The 21,428-nt window shown below is 43.4% G+C and overlaps 2 long non-coding RNA genes across 5 annotated transcripts, besides 1 other annotated feature; one reads left to right on the top strand and one right to left on the bottom strand.

The window, feature by feature from the left end:
• The first annotated feature begins 347 nt into the window (after positions 1-347).
• Positions 348-2,935, top strand: LOC124904935 (uncharacterized). Its single transcript, XR_007067665.1, has 2 exons — positions 348-1,451; positions 2,026-2,935. It is a non-coding gene; the product is annotated as an uncharacterized LOC124904935 (long non-coding RNA).
• A 9,871-nt stretch (positions 2,936-12,806) lies between these two features.
• LOC124904934 (uncharacterized) lies at positions 12,807-21,029 on the bottom strand. Of its 4 annotated transcripts, none has more exons than XR_007067663.1 (5): positions 20,956-20,997; positions 19,467-19,594; positions 18,304-18,489; positions 16,604-16,781; positions 14,026-14,318 (listed from the first exon to the last, which is right to left on the bottom strand). It is a non-coding gene; the product is annotated as an uncharacterized LOC124904934 (long non-coding RNA). The 4 variants fall into 4 exon arrangements; XR_007067662.1 differs by having other exon boundaries at positions 19,467-19,567; XR_007067664.1 differs by lacking the exon at positions 19,467-19,594 and having other exon boundaries at positions 12,807-14,318; positions 20,956-21,029.
• Positions 19,139-19,198: a silencer, noted in NCBI's record as "silent region_13052". NCBI's record gives its function as "represses an Ori minimal core promoter by ATAC-STARR-seq in GM12878 lymphoblastoid cells {active_cell/tissue: GM12878}" and the evidence as "EXISTENCE:reporter gene assay evidence [ECO:0000049][PMID:35858748]".
• Positions 21,030-21,428: the final 399 nt, after the last annotated feature.

The following is a 21,428-nucleotide window of genomic DNA, read 5'->3' as shown; positions in this document are numbered from 1 at the left end:
GAGAGAGAAAAGCTCTCTCCTAAAATCCCACAAGTTTGCTGCCAGTGATTCAGTACATACCTGACCAAAAAAAAAAAAAAAAAAATGTTGCTTAACTGGTTTGGTTGTTTCAGCTGGCTACTACCAAGAGAAGTAAACAGGACCTTATCATTTCAGTTAAGTCTGGCTTGAGCATTATTTTCAAGTAAATATTTATAATTTCAATGCTATTCCATTGCTACCACTGCTGTCTTTGGATTGGACCGACTGAAACATTGTCTTGGATTAGCCCGACTCCATAGCAACAGGCCAGGAGAGGCTGCACCCTCCTTGCCTGTCCTTTCTGTGGCTGGGGAGGAGAGGAGGAGGTATTTGGTGACACTCGCCATCAGGACTTTGCAGCTCTCTTGCCAGATAGCAGCTGAATTGAAGAATATCCTTCCTTTGCCATTTGGGCTCCAGTCCATCAGGATTTTTGCTGATCACTTTGCACATCTCAATGAATTTGACACACGGGCATTTTTTTTTCTCTCTCTCTCTCCTCATTCAGGAAGTGGAGAGCTGAGCCCTGAGATTCTTTCTGCTCCGATGATATAAACAAATTGTAGAGGAAGTCAAGTCAAACTTTCCCTTGCTTCTTTTGTTCTCCCAAATAGCAATTCAGAAAACAGAGCCAACTTTTCTTGGATGACTTTTAAAGATTGCTCTTTAACTAGAAAGGCAGAAACCCTCTTGCTTTATTTTGTATCTGTAAAAACAAAGATTCTCCTAAACATATTTTGTTTTCAAAAAAGCAGAAATGCCCTAGAAGTTAAAAAAAAAAAATAGCTGTTTTCTGAGACTTTTCAAACCAAATTGCTCTTTTGTCATTACACAGTTACCTAATTGTTTTTTCTTTCCTTGACAAATCTCCAGGCTAAAATACAAACAAGAGAGCAATAACGATCTTTGCGTGGATAATAGCTAAACCTGAATAGAAGCTTCCAGGGCCCTAATACACAGCCAAGGAAAGCTAACAGTCATGATTCAATAAAGGTGCCTTGTAAGGCATGTGCCAGACAGAAAGGAGACACCATATCTGTGTAATCTACAGACACTGCTTTAAACATCACATAATTAAGTCCTTCCCATGGTGGTGGCTACTTGAAGCTTTATCATTAGCTTGTAAGATTTCATCTCTGGGTTTCACCGATGGTTCTGAGAATGAACATTTTCAAACCAGAGGCACCTGCTAATCCAGGAGACATACTCACCACGCCTATTCTCGTCCTCCAGTGAAAGAAGCTCTATGTTAAATGACTGAAGGGAAACAGAAGGGAATATGTAACAAAATATATACAGGAGCAGCCCCGGGGTGGCTTTCCATGCTGAGTGTTCTATTACATTAATCCTGGCACACAAAAAATGCGACAGCCACATGGATATCAATATGCCTGCATTGTTTGTCTTCCATCGGCCCTCTCTGTACACAGGTGGGTAGCCAAACTTCATCACAGGCCTATTCTCTCGTGAAACATAATAGAGTTCAAACACAGGCTCGAACTGCTTCCTGAGTCTCAGTGTTCTCCTCTGTAAAATGGGATATCTGGTGGCTGTGTCACATGGGTTAGAAATAATATGAGTATAGATACAGAGAGATTTCTCGGTTAATCCAATGTGCGGCTCCTGTTAGGTTCTCGATAAAAAATTGCTGTGATATTAAAATTCATAACACTATGTGAGTTCTCCTGGGTCAGGAAAAACTAGCATTGGTAGAAGCTCAACCTTGCAATATTTGCAGTTATTTCTGTCAGAACGCTTTTCCTCAGTCACGATCCTCTCCTCCCTCTTTATCTATAAATACGCATATACTGTAGATATTTATAGACTAATAGGTATATAAAATCCTTTATGCAAGTTGTAATTGACTGTGTAATTATTGAATAAACAGTGGATGAAAGGATAATGGTAGGTTCTGAAAGCCAGCTTTAATTCACGTTTTATTTTATATTCATTAAACTGTTTACTTACTTGTCTACATTCTCCTCTCTGTTGATTATTTTCCAGGCATGCATTTCCCTCGAGCAATGATCAGGCTGAGAAAGTGATTTCATTTACATTGCAAAGGAGACAGAAAAACAAACAGAAAACCCAGAGGCCACGACTTCCCGGGAGTGCTCCAGAGTGTGTGTATTGCTAGTAGAAGCTATGTGCACCTCCACACCCCGGAACTATTTTTGAAGCTTTGATGTAGAAACGCACAATACCTACAGCGACCTTAAATTTCTGTAAAACAAATATAGCATGCATTGATGCAATTGCCATATATTTATAGAATTCAACAATTGCCTTCCACCAACTTTATCAAATATCTGCTGCATGGGGGCGGTGCTAGGACAGAAACATAAACAGCTCTGATTGGTCCATTATGCAGACGAAGCACATGCTTCAAGGACCAGAAAAGCAGAGAGAACACCGTGCTCCTGCCTTACTGGCCAAATGATGCAACAAGAAAATTCAGGAAAGTTAATTTAAGTTTCAACATACAGATTTTTTTGTCCCTTGGAAGACACAGTTTTAAGTTTTAGTTGAGTTTTGTTTTCATTTTTATTTGGGTACAGGTCTTGGGATAGTTCGGATTTGTGTTCAGAAAATTTTTACTCCTCCACACTTTGGAGGAATACCCTTCCCTGACTTAGGGATGTTGGACTTGGCCATGTGACTATTGGCCAGTAAGATGTTAGCAAGCATGATGCCATCAAGGTCACTGTGGATTTGCACAGTGGGCCTGGCTCTCCTGCACTTCCAACATTGCCTTGAGATGCATACACATGCCTGCGTCCAAGGAAGATGGAAGACACCTGGAGCAAACTTGGACTCAGCCCATAACTTGAAGCCCAGCCCGGACCACCCCAGGTCATCTAAACCCCAGCTAATTTGCAAATGTTTATGTGAGAATAAATAATTACCATTTTAAGCCACTGAGTCTTGGAGTGATTTTTTGCATTATTGTGGCAACAGCTGAGTAATGTAGGCCTCATAATATTTATAGGTTTTACTCTGGCCATGGCATACTAATACAGATCCTGGGGGAGTCTTGGGGGGAGGGGGGATTAATTTTAAAAAATAATTCAAACTCTTGCATTACTGATTCGACTTTGTTTTGTAAGTCAAGGTGAATCATTGCCTTTCATGTGATAAATGAAATTAGACGCCCATAGTGTTTCAGTACAGCAGCATATGATTAAAGAGCAAGAGAGATATGAGATACTTATTTTTTCATCTAGATAAAACCTTCATTCCACTACTGCTTCATTCAGAAAAAAAAAGTTTCACTTGTTAAAGGGATACTCATTCAGCTCTTTTGTGCTGGACCTTGAAGATACAGTTTTGAGTATTAATAACTAACTCTTCTCTAACGCTTATGATGAGCCAGGCATTGTTCTTAGTGGTTTATCTGCATCAACTCATTTAACCTTCAGAACTTAATGCAATCGTTACTATGACTGCGCCCATTCTCAGATGAGAAAACTGAGAAGCTGAGAGGGGAAATGACTTACTCGAGCTTCCATGACTTATAAGTAACAGAGCCGGGATTCAAATCCAGGCCATCTGACATCGGAGTACATGTTTTTTACCTATCGTGATAAGACATGTAGTTTCTATTGACAGGGAGTTTACAGAGTAAAGAGGACAACAACTTTAAACAAGAAGATCAATCAATCATTAGAAACCATGGGCAGGACCATCATGGAAAAGAGCAGGAAACTATGGTGAAGAGTAACAGGAAGGTTCAGGCGCAGTGGCTCACACATGTAATCCCAGCACTTTGGGAGGCCAAGTCCAGCAAATCACTTGAGGTCAGGAGTTTGAGACCAGCCTGGTCAACATGGTGAAACCCCATCTCTCAAGTACCCAGGGACACAAACACTGCGGAAGGCCGCAGGGTCCTCTGCCTAGGAAAACCAGAGACCTTTGTTCACTTGTTTATCTGCTGACCTTCCCTCCACTATTGTCCTATGACCCTGCCAAATCCCCCTCTGCGAGAAACACCCAAGAATGATCAATAAAAAATAAATAAATAAATAAGTAAAAAAAATAAAAATAAAAATACAGAAATTATCCGGGGCATGGCAGCGAGTGCCTGTAATCCCAGCTACTTGGGAGGCTGAGGCAGGAGAATCACTGGAACCTGGGAGGAAGAGGTTGCAGTGAGCCAAGATCACACCACTGCACTACAACCTGGGTGACAGATTCTGTCTCAAAAAAAAAAAAAAAGAAGAACAGGGAGGACCTGTTGTAGATAGGCGTTCAGAGAAGTCTTTTCTTATTAGGTGATATTGTCTGAAGAATGAATGGGATCAGAAGGAAAACTAGCTAGGAAAGAGAAGAATGTTCCAGGCAGAAGGAATAGCAGGGAGGTAAGTCTTGAGGCAGTCTACAGGTTGGTATGTACTCAGGACTGAAAAATGGTCATTGCTTCAGTGAGGCCGAAGGGGTGAGTATATCTTTTACTTATTGCCATAGGAGGGTAGCTGGTCAGCAAATTTTTTGTAAAGAGCCAAATAGCAAATCCTTTAGGTTTTGTAGGCCACGTAGCCTCTAATGCAATTACTGAACTCAGACAGCGTGACACAAAAGCATCCATGTAGAATAAGCATAGCTGTGTTCCAGTAAAACAGTATATGCAGACACTGAAATGTACCTTTCAGTGTTGCAGTTCCACAAACAGCAAGCATGTGTGTGAGAACACACAGGATGGTCACGGTTAGTGCATTTCCAACAAATCCGGTGGCCTTTCATGAATTTTTTTTTTTTTTTGAGACAAAGTCTCACTTTGTCCCCCATGCTGGAGTGCAGTGGCATGATCTCAGCTCACTGCAACCTCCTTCTGCCGGGTTTGAGCAACTCTCAGCCTCGGCCTCTCAAATAGCTGGGGTTATAAGTGTGTGCCACCACATCCAGCTACTTTTTGTATTTTTAGTAGAGATGGGGTTTCACCATGTTGGCCAGGCTGGTCTCCAACTTCTGGCCTCAGCTGATCTCTCTGCCTCAGCTTCCCAAAGTGCTGGGATTATAGGTGTGAGCCCCTGTGCCCAGCCGCCTCTCATAATGTTTGATGCACCTTGACCTTTAACTCTCAGTGAGTTCTCTGTTGAAACAGAACACAGGTCACACCATTAAGAACAAGACGGAATTTTGAGTAAAAGTAATGAATAAGCGATTGGGTTATCCAATCATCCTATTATTAAAGAGGAGTAAATGATAGAATCACCCAGAAAAATGAAGTAAAGTTCTTGTTGACTTGACATGATGTATTGGCATCGACAAAGATAACATAAAGCACATGCTCCATCTTTACACAGAGGATGGGGACAACAAGACTGGTTAATGAGTGTCATCCTTCAAAGAGCATTAAGATTAATTGCTGCGCAAGAAAACTCGAATTGCCCTGAAATCTTGGAGGTCATGTAAGAAAGAAATGTGATATATGTTTTCTCAAATTTAACACAATAATCCTAAAATTTTACAATACCTGACCAGTAATAAGTGGTGAAGCCAAAAGAAACTTTTCAAAACTGACAATAGTAATTAAAAAAAATTTTTGTTGATCAATCGTGTCAGGCACAGTGGCTCACACCTGCAATCCCAACACTTTGGGAGGATCACTTGAGGCCAGGAGTTCAGGACCAGCACGCGCAATATAACAAGATCTCGTCTCTACCAAAAAAAAAAAATTGAATTAGTCAAGTGTGGTGGCTAATACTTGTGGTCCCAGCTACTCTAGAGGCTGAGGCAGGAGGATCACCCGAGCCCAGGAGTTTGACAATGCAGTTAGCATATGATCACTCCATGGCATTCCAGCCTGGGCGACAGAGTGAGACCCTGTCTCTAAAATTAAATTAAATTATATTAAAAATTCTGATCAGTCATGATGGAGGAAAGACTAAATCCTCCTTCTCATAGTCACTCTCTATAAAATAATAACCCAGTATTGTTAAAAGATAATTAAAGAGTTTGTAGCTAAAACATACAGGACAAAAGTATCATAGCAGGTGCCTGTAATCCCAGCTACTCGGGAGGCTGAGGCAGGAGAATCACTTGAACCCGGGAGGCGGAGTTTACACTGAGCCGAGATCGAGACACTGCACTCCAGCCTGGGCTACAGAGCAAGACTGTGTTTCAAAAAAAAGTCAAGCAGTTGGTTAATTTTTAAAAGATGCTATTTTGGGAGGATTTTATGATATTAGTAATTTTTTTCAGCTTTAAAATTTTTACAATTTGTTGTACTTTCTTCTTTTATTCTAAATAAACGTTAACTTTCCTAACTAATTTTGTGTTCTTTTTCTTTTGGGAAGCCCCCAATTGTATAAGGTTGAAGACCTATAAACAGGAACCACTTCCATTAAAGCACTGACTATATGAGCCAAGCATATTTAGATGCTAGAAATCATTGAACGAAACAGTTGGAGGTGGTTTTAAAATAGGTCCACAAATTCTCTGGCACTCCTGTCTCCAAAAGGCAGAGGTTATTTCCCTTCCCCTTGAGTGTAGGCGGAGTCCAGAGACTTGTTTCTAAGGAACAGAAGGTTGTGGGGGCGACACTGGGTGACATCCAAGACTAATCATAAAAGGCACTGGAGTTTCCTCCTTGCTGTTCCTCTTAGGAACCCAGCTGCTGCGACATGAGAACTCAAGCTTCCCTATGGGAAGGTCTGCATAGTGAGGAACAGAGGCCTCCAGCCAACAGCCACGTGCGTGAGCCTGCTCAGAAGCATGTTATCCAACTCCAGTCAAGCTTTTAGGTGCCTACAGCCCAGAACAACATCTTGACTGCATCTTGACTATTCACAAGAGGCCCTGAGCCAGAACCATCCATCCAAACTGCTGTAGGATTGCTGACCTCAGAAACCGTGAGCTAAGAAATGTCCATTATTTTTCTAGCTGGCCCTTGAGACAATATTTTATTTTAATAAATAGAAAAAAAAAGTTTTTAAATGTCCATATTTTAAGCGAGTACGTTTAGGGAAAATTTGTTACACAGCAAGAGATAATTAATATACTTACAAAAGTTCCAGTTTTATGATTCTTATATTCTGAAGTTTATTAAATAGACAACGAATAAATGGCTTTTGAGAATGGTGAACAGTAAAAACTTTAAGAAATGCACCAAATTATCCTACCACTTGACCCAGCAATCCCACTACTGGGTATCTACCCAGAGGAAAAGAAGTCATGATACCAAAATTAGCCGGGCATGGTGATAGGACACCTGTAATCCCAGCTACTTGGGAGGCTGAGACAGGAGAATCGCTTGAACCTGGGGCGGAGGTTGCAGTGAGCTGAGATTGAGCCACTGCACTCCAGCCTGGGCAACAGAGCAAGACTCTGTCTCAAAGAAAAAAAAGGAAAAGAAGTCATTATACAAAAAAGATACATGCACACACGTTTATAGCAGCTCAATTCGCAACTGCAAAACTGTGGAACCAACCCAAATGCCCATTAATTAATGAGTGGATAAAGAAACTGTGGCATGTATACATATATACACACACATATATACGTGGTATACATATCAATATATATCATATATCCATGTATCATATATATCTATATATCATATATCAATATATATCATATGTATCATATATATCTATATATCATGTATATCAATATATATCTCATATATATGATAGAATACTACTCAGCCATAAAAAGAAATGAATTAATGGCATTTGCAGCAACCTGGATGAGATTGGAGACTATTATTCTAAGTGAAGTAAGTCAGGAATGGAAAACCAAACATTGTATGTTCTCACTCATAAGTGGGAGCTAAGCTATGAGGATGCAAAGGCATAAGAATGACACAATGGACTTTGGAGACTCAGGGAGCGAGGGTGGGAAGCGGGTGAGGGATAAAAGAATACAAACTGGGTTCTGTGTATACTGCTCTGGTGATGGGTGCACCAAAATCTCACAAATCACCACTCGAGAACTTACTCATGTAACCAAACACCACCTGTTACCCAAAAAAAACCTATGGAAATAAAAAAATTAAAAAAAATAAATGTATCAAATTATCTTTACGTATGTATTCATTTATCAAATATTTATTCAGCAGCACCATATGTTTATCTACTTTTAGGCACTGAGCTGGGCTAATTGACAAGAAAGACATAAACCCGCCCCTCATGGAGGGGAGCTATTAGAGAACTATTAGATAATCAATGTCACAAAGTCAGTGAATTAAGTGATCAGAAATTAAAACCCCCAAATCTATGCTCTCAGTCATGTTATAATATTGTCATCCAGTATGGCAGAAAATCAGGTTTTTGCCCTGCGTCTAACACTCACTCCCTGCAGAACACTGGAATCAGGGCTGAGTTTCCCTGTTCCAGTTCAAACAGCCCGATTATGAAAATGCCAATCATTGTAAGTATGAAGTGCTTGTTACAGTCCGGCACAGTGCCAAGCCCTTTATAAGCATTATCTCAGTTCATCCTCACGACAGCTCCCTGTTCCTCGGCCACTTCCACTCTGGAGCCCCTCCCAGGCTCCCTTGCAACTTGGCCTTATGGCACAATTCAGGCCAGTGAAGCCCGAACAGAAGAGACGGCTGGAAAGTTTCTGGGCAGGGGTTTGTTGTCTTGCAAATGATTAGATGTCAGTGGTTCTACTTGTTTCTCTTTTCCCTGCCATAAAAGTGAACTGGGTTAGGCATCCTGTGACCATAAGGAAAGACTAGGTGAACCACAAAGCACTGACATTCTTGAGCTACAGAAGCACATTGCTACCTCTGCATCCTTTAAAGTGAGGAAAAATTGTAACCTCTTTGTTTCAGCCTCTGTTGGCTTTTTGTTATGGTGGTTACTACTTACAGCTGAAAGCCTTCCCAACTTATCTAATGAAATTGAGACAGAGAACTATTAGATAATCAGTGTCACAAAGTCAATGAACTGAGGGATCAGAAATTAAAACCTCCAAATCTACACTCTCAGCCATGGTATAATATTGGTCATTATGGTTTCCACAAGTAAGCAAACACACACACACAAAACTATAGCAAATATAAGCAAATATATTTATCTAGTTTCCTTGATATGATCCAAATAGACTAACAAGGCTTTTTGATATTGCCTCAAACTATGGGATATTAAATTTTCATTCCATTTTTAACAAGTACTTAATTGGACATTTCTGGGAAGTCCTGGGAAGCTAAGAAATTCATTAATATTGATGATGGTGTTGGAAATATGTTAACTATGGATATGTCATTTAGAAGAGCTAATTAAATAGAAATTCTACTTTTTGAGGGTCCTTCCAACAAAGTATTTATGGAGCACCTACAATGTACCTGGTAATTTATTTCTATCATATTACTTAGTCTCTCTACTAGCCGGCAAACTGAGCCATGTGCTCCATTTTAGAGATGGGAAAACTGCAGCTCACAGAGAGGTTAAGTAGCTTGCCCAGATGGTCCAGCTTGTGGTAGAATCAGAATTGAACTCAGTTCAGTTCAGCAGTTCAGAGCCTGGACCACTGCATGTTATAGGGAGAGAGTGGTAAAATGTTCCCATATATGATACAAATATGTGACAGTAGGATAAGCGATATTAGATATGACAACAACTATGACAGTTTATACATGAGTGAATGAAGTTTGGGTAATGCTCTGGTGATGGTTATTGGAGTAAAACAAATATGAAGCAATTCCTGCTCCAGCACCATCTGGCTGTGACCTCAGTTAGGCAAGTTTCATAATCGCCCTGAGCCTCAATTTCTTCCTCTGTAAAATGGGGGCAATACTAATATCAATCTCACAGGGTTGTTCTGAGCATTCAATGGGACAAGGCTGTCCAGCCCTTTAAAAATATTAACAGTTATTCATTTAATATTTTTCCACACTTTGAAACCACCTTTGCAAAAATTACAATGGAGAAAACTGTATCAGTGAACAAGATCTGATCTAACTGACTCCATCTTGCTTTTAACCTCCAAGCTGTCCTTGTTCATTCCTGGGTGGATACCAAACTAACTTTGGGAGGAACTTAGTTGATAGTTTCACTTTGAAAGAAAGACTGTAACAAAAACCCTCTTCCTGACTGGGACTACACTGCCTTTGCAGGACTAACAAATTAGCTACAAAATTAAAAATTATGGTTTAGAAGCTGTGCAGCTGGAGGCTGCGAGGTTCTGAACCTCCCCAAATTGCTTCTGGGGATAACACTGCTATTGTAAAAGCGAAGATCAGTGCTTGAGATATTTTCAGACCCTGTACTCAGTGAATCCGCTAGCACAGCCCTGGATAGACTGGCTCATTTGGTCCTATGGCTCCTACCTAGAAACTGACTCAGTACAAGAGGACCCCCTCGACTCCCTAGGATTTCATCTCCGGCCTGACCAATCAGCACTCCCCGTCTTTCAACCTCCTACCCACCAAATTATCCGTAAAAACCCCGATCCCTGAGTTTTCGGGGAGACTGATTTGAGTAACAACAAAACTCTGGCCTCCTGTACAGCCAGCTCTGCATGAATTAAACTCTTTCTGTATTGAAATTCCCGTTTTGATAAATCAGGTCTGTCTAGGCAATGAGGAAGGAGAACCCATTGGGCAGTTACAACTTCCTCCCTATGTGCAAAGGAATCAGTTTCCTTTGTTTTGATCTGGGTATTCTCCCTTGACAACTACATACACTATCAGTAGTGGAAGAAGAAATACGTAATCATCAAAAGAGCAAATAATCTCTGCAAAAGCCATGTCTGAACTTTGCTAAGAACAATCTGTCAGTTTTTCACACCTGTGGCAAGTACAAAATGAAAAGAGAACAGGCCGGGCGCAGTGGCTCACGCCTGTAATCCCAGCACTTTGGAAGGGCAAGGCGGGCAGATCACCTGAGATCGGGAGTTCGAAACCAGCATGGCCAACATGGCAAAACCCTGTCTCTACTAAAAAATACAAAAATTAGCCAGGCATGGTGGCTCACGCCTGTAATCCCAGGTACTCGGAAGGCTGAGGCAGAAGAATCGCTTGAACCTGGGAGACAGAGGTTGCAGTGAGCTGAGATCATGCCACTGCACTCCAGCCTGGGTGACAGAGTGAGACTCCATCTAAAAAAAAAGAAAGAAAAAAAGAAAGAAAAGAGAGCACAGTGAAATCATCTGAAAAGGAGAACAGAGGGTTTTGCTGTCCTGGCTTGGAGCTTCCTTTTGCTCCCCTCACACTATCCGCTGCAATTTTTTTTCCTTCTTGCTCTCACTGATCTCTCTTCTCTATCTCTTTCTGCAGTTATACCAGCACTTGTTTCTGTCTTTTTTTTTTTCTTTCTCTTTTTTTTTTTTATTGATCATTCTTGGGTGTTTCTCGCAGAGGGGGATTTGGCAGGGTCACAGGACAATAGTGGAGGGAAGGTCAGCAGTTAAGTGACCAAAGGTCTCTGGTTTTCCTAGGCAGAGGACCCTGCGGCCTTCCGCAGTGTTTGTGTCCCTGGGTACTTGAGATTAGGGAGTGGTGATGACTCTTAACGAGCATGCTGCCTTCAAGCATCTGTTTAACAAAGCACATCTTGCACCACCCTTAATCCATTCAACCCTGAGTGGACACAGCACATGTTTCAGAGAGCACAGGGTTGGGGGTAAGGTCACAGATCAACAGAATCCCAAGGCAGAAGAATTTTTCTTAGTACAGAACAAAATGAAAAGTCTCCCATGTCTACCTCTTTCTACACAGACATGGCAACCATCCGATTTCTCAATCTTTTCCCCACCTTTCCCCCCTTTCTATTCCACAAAACCACCATTGTCATCATGGCCCGTTCTCAATGAGCTGTTGAGTACACCTCCCAGATGGGGTGGTGGCCGGGCAGAGGGGCTCCTCACTTCCCAGTAGGGGCGGCCGGGCAGAGGCGCCCCTCACCTCCCGGACAGGGCGGCTGGCCGGGCGGGGGGCTGACCCCCACCTCCCTCCCAGACGGGGTGGCTGCCGGGTGGAGACGCTCCTCACTTCCCAGACGGAGTGGCTGCCGGGCGGAGGGGCTCCTCACTTCCCAGACGGAGTGGCTGCCGGGCGGAGGGTCTCCTCACTTCTCAGACGAGGCGGCCGGGCAGAGACGCTCCTCACATCCCAGACGGGGCGGCAGGGCAGAGGCGCTCCCCACATCTCAGACGATGGGCGGCCTGGCAGAGACACTCCTCACTTCCTAGATGGGATGGCGGCCGGGCAGAGACGCTCCTCACTTTCCAGACTGGGCAGCCAGGCAGAGGCTCCTCACATCCCAGACGATGGGCGGCCAGGCAGAGACGCTCCTCACTTCCCAGACGGGGTGGCCGCCGGGCAGAGGCTGCAATCTCCGCACTTTGCGGGGCCAAGGCAGGCGGCTGGGAGGTGGAGGTTGTAGCCGAGATCACGCCACTGCACTCCAGCCTGGGCACCATTGAGCACTGAGTGAACGCGACTCCGTCTGCCATCCCGGCACCTCGGGAGGCCGAGGCTGGCGGATCACTCGCGGTTAGGAGCTGGAGACCAGCCCGGCCAACACAGCGAAACCCCGTCTCCACCAAAAAAATACGAAAACCAGGCAGTCGTGGCGGCGCGCGCCTGCAATCGCAGGCACTCGGCAGGCTGAGGCAGGAGAATCAGGCAGGGAGGTTGCAGTGAGCCGAGATGGCAGCAGTACAGTCCAGCTTTGGCTCGGCATCAGGGGGAGACCGTGGAAAGAGAGGGAGGGGGAGACCGTGGAAAGAGAGGGAGAGGGAGACCGTGGGGAGAGGGAGACCGTGGGGAGAGGGAGAGGGAGAGGAGGAGCCTTTCCAATTTTCTTTCTTTCTTTCCTTCCTTCCTTCCTTCCTTCCTTCCTTCCTTCCTTCCTTCCTTCCTTCCTTCCTTCCTTCCTCCCTCCCTCCCTCCCTCCTCCCTTCCCCTCCCTCCCTCCTCCCTTCCCCTCCCCTCCCCTCCCCTCCCCTCTTGTTTCTGTCTTAATAGATCCCTGACCTCTCCCATGAAAAGTGGTTTCCTGGTTTAGAAGAGAAAGATCAAGCACAACTGAGAATTTTCCATTTTCAAAAAAAAGGCCTTGTGGTAGGCAGAATTCTAGCCCAGCCCCATGGTCCCCACCCTATCCCCATGTCCCTGTAGTGTAGGCCCTTGAGTGTGGGCTGGACCTAGTGACTTCCTAACAAATAGAATAGAGCAAAGGGGATGGGATGTCATTTCCACGATTGGGTTGCAAAAGATTGTGACTTTCGTCTTGCTAGCAGACTCTCTCTGTGGCCTTCTCAGCTTGCACACTTCGATGAAGTAAGTTGCCATCTGGAATGCCCCAGGTGGCAAGGAATGGAGGGTGGCCTCTGACCAATAGTGAGAAAAGATCTCAGGTCCTCAATCTAACAGCCCTCAGGGAACTGAATCCTCCCAATAACCGCCTGAGCCTGGACACAGCTTCTTCCCATGTAGAGTCTTTACATGAAATCCCAGCATAGGCTGACATCTTGAATGCCGATTTGTCTGAGACCCTGAAGCAAGGGCTGATTCTGACAAACAGAAACTATGAGACAATAAATATGTCTTATTATAAGATGCTAAATGTTTAGATAACTTGTGACACAGCAAATACAAACCCAGATAGTCAATCAATAATGAATAGAGAGGAAGAAAGGAAAGAGCTGGATCAGGAGGTGGCATCTCTGGATTCCAGCCACACTTTGCACCTTCTATTCAGATGATCTTAGGAAAAGCACTTCCTTTCTCTGTCTTGCTGTCTCCTTCTGACAAATGACAGGGTTGAATTAGAAATTGTAAAAATTGCCGGGCGTGGTGGCTTACATCTGTAATCCCAGTACTTTGGGAGGCCGAGGTGGACGGATCACTTGCGGCCAGGAGTTCGAGACCAGCCTGGCCAACATGGCGAAACCTCATCTCTACTAAAAATACAAAAAATTAGCTGGGTGTGGTGGTGTGCGCCTGTAGTCCCAGCTACTCGGGAGGCTGAGGCAGGAGAATCGCTTGAACCCAGGAGGCAGAGATTGCAGTGAGCCGAGATTGCACCACGGCACTCCAGCCTGGCGACAGAGCGAGATTCCATCTCAAAAAAAAAAAAGAAATTGTAAAAATTTTGTAGCTTTTCTCTTTAAATATCTAGTGGCATTCAACTGTGGGCTCACATTTCATCTTGATAACAGCCTGTTAGAACTAGGTAGAAGCTGTCCTCATAAAATAGGGCATGGAATTTTCAGTTCACCTCAGTCCTCACCTGACCCTGTTTACTCATGTACATTACCTGCCAGGCATGGCATTGGAGACAGTGATTCCTGTGGCAGGGGATCCTCTGCATTCGTTTGGTTCCTTTGAGGTGCAGACTATCAGACTGCAAAGTGGAAAAAGCATGCCTCACATTTCCTGGAAGAAACAGCTGGAGGGAGAAGGGGAAGGAGATTTCCCACAATGCTGCCCTAACCCCCGCAGAGGAAGAAGGGGAAAAAGGACGGGTTGGTAGGGAAAGTCTGAGAGGGTGGTGCAGTTCTGAGAAAGTTTTGAAAAAGCCAAAGTTATGTATCAGAGGAGTCTCATGTCCCCCAGGAACAAGCCTGCCTTAGTATCCCTGTCGCATGCAGTCGTGGGCAAGGAGCAGCCCACGGGAAATGTAACCTTGGCACAAATATGATAATAGCTTTCAGATCACAGCATCGCAGGGCCCTCGGTCAATTACAGTCCCTGCTGCAGGAAATACAAGAGGCACATGTTTCTGTCTTCCATGTCTCCTAAAGTTCCTTCTAGCCTAAAAATCCTACCTAAATATGGATTACCCACAGGGCAAATATGACCCCTAGTTGTATTTTGGTTGGCTTATGGTGTTTGAAAACATTAGCTACAACAGCAAAACCACAATACATAGAGGAAAGTTTTGATAAAATAGACTTTATCAAAATTCACTCTGAAAAAACACTGTTAAGAGAATGAAAAGACAAGCTACAGACTAGAAAAAAAATTTGCAAATCATATATTCGACAAAGGTTTTTGATAATATGGTTTTTAAACTCTCAAAATTCAAAAATAAGAAAATAAACCGGCCAGGCACGGTGGCACACACCTGTAATCCCACCACTTTGGGAGGCCAAGACGGGCGCATCACCTGAGGTCAGGTGTTCAAGACCAGCCTGGTCAACATGGTGAAATCCCATCTCTGCTAAAAATACAAAATTAGCCAGGTGTGGTGGCGCATGCCTGTAATCCCAGGTACTTGGGAGGCTGAGGCAGGAGAATCGCTTGAATCCAGGAGACGGAGGTTGCAGTGAGCCGAGATTGTGCCATTGCACTCCAGCCTGGGCAACAAGAGCAAAACTCCGTTTCAAAAAAAAGAAAAAGAAAAGAAAAAGAAATTACCCATTTTTTTAACGGGGAAAAGATTTAGGCCGGGTGCTATGGCTCACATCTGTAATCCCAGCACTTTGGGAGGCCAAGGCAAGAGGATAACTTGAGGTCAGGAGTTCGAGACCAGCCTGGCCAACAAGGTGAAACCTTGTCTCTACTAAAAATACAAAAATTAGCCAGACGTGGTGGCACGCACCTATAGTCCCAGCTACTCGGGAGGCTGAGACGCGAGAATTGCTTGAACCTGGGAGGCAGAGGTTGGAGTAAACTGCAATCGTGCCACTGCACTCCAGTCTGGGCAACAGAGCAAGACTCCGTCTCTCAAAAAACAAACAAATTACTATACTGTGTCAAAACTTATTGTGCTGTACGCCAAAAAGAGTGAATTTTACTGTATGTAAATTTAAAAATACATTTCAAAAAATACATCCAACCCATCATCCCTGCTGTGTATGCCAGCACATGTTAGTACTACACTGATGTGTTCATCCAAAGCACCTCTACCAATTCCCAAACTGTGTTTCAGGAGGAAGTTACAGTCCCTTGTTGAAACTTCTACTTTAGAACAAGGAGTTTGGGATAGACTCAGTCTTCTGCAATGGTATGCAAAATTGTGCACAGATGTGTAATTTCCTGGGCAAAAAGTCCCAGCTGATGTGAAATGTTCACGAATAATATGGTGGTAACGAGCACGGGGCTCTCTGCTGATGGGGTGGGGGAATTTACATCTTTACTCTCTGGCACTATATGAGCTTGAACCACTTACACTTAACCCTCCAGAGCTTGAGTTTATTATTAGTAAAAGGGCAATAACACTAATCATAGACACTTCATAGGGCTGGTGTAAGGATTAAATAGAATAATGGATGTACAACACCACATGTGCAATTAATCCCCCATATACGTATTTTCAGAAATTTCTTTTTTTTAATTTTTTTTATTTTTTGAGACGGATTTCACTCTGTCGCCCAGGCTGGAGTGCAGTGGTGCGATCTGGGCTCACAGCAACCTCTGCCTCCCAGGTTCAAGCAATTCTCTGCCTCAGCCTCCTGAGTAGCTGGGATTACAGGCACGCACCACCACGCCCAGCTAATTTTTTTGTATTTTTAGTAGAGACGGGGTTTCACCATCTTGGCCGTGCTGGTCTTGAACTCCTGACCTCATGATCTACCCGCCTCAGCCTCCCAAAGTGCTGGGGTTACAGGCATGAGCCACCGCACCAGGCATTTTCAGAAATTTCAAAAGAAATTTGAAGAGTCATGAACGTGACTGCACATTTACCAAACATCTCCTGTTTTTAAAGTACTTCACAGAGATTCTCCTGTTGCTTATCCTCAGTTTGTAGATCCTGAGTTCAGAGAAGTCAGTAGCTTGCCGAAGGCCACACAGCAAATGTACAGCACAGCCAGAATTCCCAAGATGTTTATTCTCTTCTTGCCACGTGGCACAGCCTTCCAAACTGAGAGGAGGAAGAAGCAAGAGGGTTGCGTTGCTACCTCAAGGGGAATCTCCCACTTGCCAAACTCACAAAATCCCTATTCCCAAGGCCCACCGCCACCTCCCTGTCCTCCCAAGTTCCTTTCTTCCTTGAGGTCCTGTATCGGGCCCCTGCCCTTCTGCCATGTTCCGTCTGCCCCGTTCTAGTGGTGTGAGTTAGTGCTTCTCAGAGCTGTTTTCACCTGTAATCCTCCGGAGAGCCTTTTAGACTTTTTTTTTCAATTGTCCCCCATGATACTTCAATACCACATGTATACTGTTATCTGTTTTTGTATGGTACATATATTGTGTATTACGTATATTATTTTTTTTTTTTTGAGACGGAGTTTTGCTCTTGTCACCCAGACTCAAGTGCAATGGTGCGATCTCGGCTCACTGCAACCTCCGCCTCCTGGGTTCAAGCAATTCTCCTGCCTCAGCCTCCCGAGTAGCTGGGATTACAGGTGCCCACCACCACGCCTGGCTAATTTTTTTGTATTTTTAGTAGAGTCGGGGTTTCACCATGTTGGCCAGGCTGGTCTTGAACTGCTGACCTCAGGTGATCCACCTGCCTCGGCCTCCCAAAGTGCTGGGATTACAGGCGTGAGCCACTGTACCTGGCAGATAGATAGATAGATAGATAGATAGATAGATAGATAGATAGATAGATTTTTTTTTTTTTTTTTGAGATGGAGTCTTGTCACCCAGGCTGGAGTGCAGTGGCGTGATCTCAGCTCACTGCAACTTTCGCTTCCTGGGTTCAAGTGATTCTCCTGCCTCAGCCTCCCGAGTAGCTGGGATTATAGGCATGCACCACCATACCCGGCTAATTTTTTATACATGTATTTTTGGTAGAGATGGGGTTTCACCATGTTGGCCAGGCTGGTCTAGAACTCCTGACCTCAAGTGATCTGCCCGCCTCGGCCTCCCAAAGTGCTGGGATTACAGGCATGAGCCACCGTGCCCGGCCTATATTAATATTTTCTAAAGTGAGATTTTCTCATGTCTTCCCAAGAACCAGTTTTACCCCTTCAAGAGCAGTAGCATTTCTATAGAGAACATGCAGTGTCAAGGCTGGTAGCAGGTGCAGCCACAGCAGCACAGCATTGTCCAGGGCTTCATGTGAGCCTGAACAACTGCAAGAGCTGCTTGTGCATTCACCTGTCAGTCTTCTCCATATGTGTTCATGACCAGGTTCCATCCAGAACTGATAAGCTGTCCCCCTCCATTGACCTCTTCTTGAAACTCTTCTCCAATTCTATTTTGATCCTTGCCAATCTTTTCCCATCTTTGTTCACTTACGGGCTAGATGTCGAAGTGATTACAGCAAAGCAAAAAACATAGCAGGATGTTTGTTTTCTCTTGCAGGTGGCGAGATTACCCCTGATCATCGCAAAATCCATACTTTCTCAGCTTTTTAAACTTCTTCTAAACTGCCACTTTAATTTCAATACAGTGTTTCTCAGTTGCTGTTTCAAAAGAACATTTAGATTTTGAATACATACCAAACCAGCCCTTTTCTAGACTTCAGGAGAGGCAATCTTCACCAAACACTGAGCTAAATTCTTTTCAGAGATTATTGATATTTCATTTTTGCTGCAGCTGCTATTTTACACAGGAGAAAATGGAGGTTCAGAGATGTCCATTAATTCACCCAAGGTCACATGAGGATAAGCGCTGGTCAGCTCAGGCTGCAAATTCAAGACAGACTGGTTAACCATGATAATAAGCCATCACTTAATTTTAGTGTATCACTTCCCTCAAAGTGGGGAGGAGCACAGAAAGTAGAGATTTTAAAAGAGGAAGGAGGAATCTTTGTGCTTGAAATAAGTTTATTCTCCCAAACACAATAGCGTGATCCTGTTGCTGAGTATTACATAGGCCTTTTTAAGAGATGCACCTGATAACTGATGAAGATTTGCTACTCGGCCACTTACTTTACTGCTCTTAGCAAGACAATTCTCTCTTACTACCCAATTACTATGTTACAGAATGATTCCCTCAAAGGAGAATCTTCCCAATGACCACAAGGCTCCAAGGGGGAAAGCTTAACCTCTTAGCCTTTACCCAATGTGCCCAGAGACTTTCAACAGCTGTGAGAATGAGTTGTGTTTTCTCCGTTATTCAAATTTGCTTTCCACATAACGCTCTTCAGTTCAGTCTGCATTGTGTTAACCTTGAATAGTTTCTTTTATCCTTGTAGAATTAAGTAAACACTCCATCAGTTTCTTTCCATACTTAAGGAAAGAAAATATTTTACTTCTATAATGTTCTGTGATGTTTCTTTTTTATCATGTATGCACTAACGGGGAATATGCCTTCTGTAATGCTCTATATACAAATTTCCTCTAACCCTCACCACAACTTCCGGTTACTGGCTCAATACCTAGTTCCAAGATTAAAAAAAGGAAGCTCAGAGAAGTGAAGTGACTTGCCTGGGGGCACAAAGCTGGGTATTGACGGAAGAAGAATTCATGCCCACTTTCTGCTGGCACCAGGATTCATGTGCTTTTCACTAACACCATTTTCCCACGCGTGGCCAACAAACATATCAGTCAAAACTATCCTCTTTCAGGCATCTTTAGAACTTCTACCAGAAGCCTAAATTTTATATTTAGAATCCAACCAAATGACAAAAAAGAAAAGAAAAGAAAAGAAATCCCTTTACCTGACATTTTCAGTTCATCACTTTTTAGGTTCTTAAAACTGGCAGGCAGACTTCCAATTTCCAGTCCAGCAAGCACGAAGCTTGGGAGTCAGCACTTCATCCTAACAACAAGGAGAAGGCTAACCAAACTAAAAACCAAACAGTTCTTTTAGATTCTTATGGCAAGAGAGGTCATGGGGCAAACCATTACTCCCCAACCTGGAGAGACCAGCAGACGAATATCCGGAATCACAATTTACCAGGGCAGAAAGCTCCGTGGGAACCGGTGCCAGGGTAGGCACACCTGGGAGTTCGCCACCAGCCTGACCAACATGGAGAAATCCCGTCTCTACTAAAAATACAAAATTAGCCAGGCGTCGTGGCGCATGCCTGTAATCCCAGCTACTCAGGAGGCTGAGGCAGGAGAATCGCTTGAACCCGGGAGGCAGAGGTTGCAGGGAGCCAAGATCGCGCCATTGCACTCCAGCCTGGGCAATAAGAGCAAAACTCCATGTCAAAAAAAAAAAAAAAAGATTATTTTTTTACACCTGAAGTGTAATTGATTCATGACTGGAAGCTCATGTGTGGACAAGTCAGAAAGTTAAAAACTCCAGAGGCTGCATGAAAGACAACAAGAGAATGAGAAGATAAGCCACAGACTGAGAGAAAATATTTGCAAAAGACACAACTGATAAAGAACTATTATCTAAAATATACAAAGAACTCCTAAAACTCAATAAGAAGACAAACAATGAAATTTTAAAATGGGCCAAAGACCTTAACAGACATTTCACCAAAGAAGACACACAGATCATAGATAAACCATGAAAAGATGCTGCACATCTTATGTCATCTGGGCAATGCCAAGTATACACATGAAATACCATGAAATACCATGACAATGAAATACCATGACACACTTATTAGAACGGCCAAGACTCAGAACAACAACACTACCAAATGCCAGTGAGGATGTACAGCAATAAGAACTGTCATTCATTGTTGGTGGAAATGCAAAATGGTCCAGGCACTTTGGAAGACAGTTTGGCAGCTTCTTACAAAGCTAAACATAATCTTACCATATGATCCAGCAATTGTACTCCTTGGTATTTACCCAAAGAGTTGAAAATTTATGTCTATACAAAAATCTGCACATGAATGTTTATAGCAGCTTTATTTATAATTGCCAAAACATGGAAGCTACCAAGATGTCCTTTGGTAGATGAATGGATAAACAAATGTAATACATCCAGACAATAGAATATTATTCAGCACTTAAAAAAAAAATTGCTATCAAGCCATGAAACGACATGGAGGAAAGATAAGTGCACATCACTGAGTGAAAGTAGCCAATCTGAAAAGACTCCATACTGCCCGTATCCCCAGCACTTTGGGAGGCCGGAGGCGGGAAGATCACTTAAGGCCAGGAGTTTGAGACCAGCCTGGCCAACATGACAAAACCCCACCTCTACTAAAAATATAAAAATTAGCTGGGTGGGATGGCACTCACCTGTATTCCCAGTTACTCAGGAGGCTGAAGCGGAAGAATCACTTGAACCTGGGAGGCAGAAGTTGCAGTGAGCCAAGATCATGCCACTGCACTCCAGCCTCAGCAACAGAGCGAAACTCCTTCTCAAAAAAAAAAAAAAAAAAAACCACAGACATATCTCAGAGATATTGCAGATTCTGTTCCAGGCCCCCACAATAAAGCAAATATGACAATAAAGTGAGTCACACATTTTTTTCCCAGTGCATATAAAATTTATGTTTGCACTATTCTGTAGTCTATTGAATGTGCAATAGCATTATGTCTAAAAATATTTATAGACCTTAATGTAAAAATATTTTACTGGCAAAAAAGCTAATGATCATCTGAGACTTCAGACAGTTGTAATCTTCTTGCTGACAGAGGATCTTGCCTCAGTGGCTGCTGACTGATCAGGGTGGTGGTCGCTGAAGGTTGAGGTGGCTGTGCCAATTTCT

Source organism: Homo sapiens, chromosome 20 (genome assembly GCF_000001405.40).
Source record: "Homo sapiens chromosome 20, GRCh38.p14 Primary Assembly".
In the NCBI taxonomy this organism is placed as follows: Eukaryota; Metazoa; Chordata; class Mammalia; order Primates; family Hominidae; genus Homo; species Homo sapiens.
Note: the sequence above shows the minus strand (reverse complement) of the source record. Positions and strands in the feature narration are given on the sequence as shown.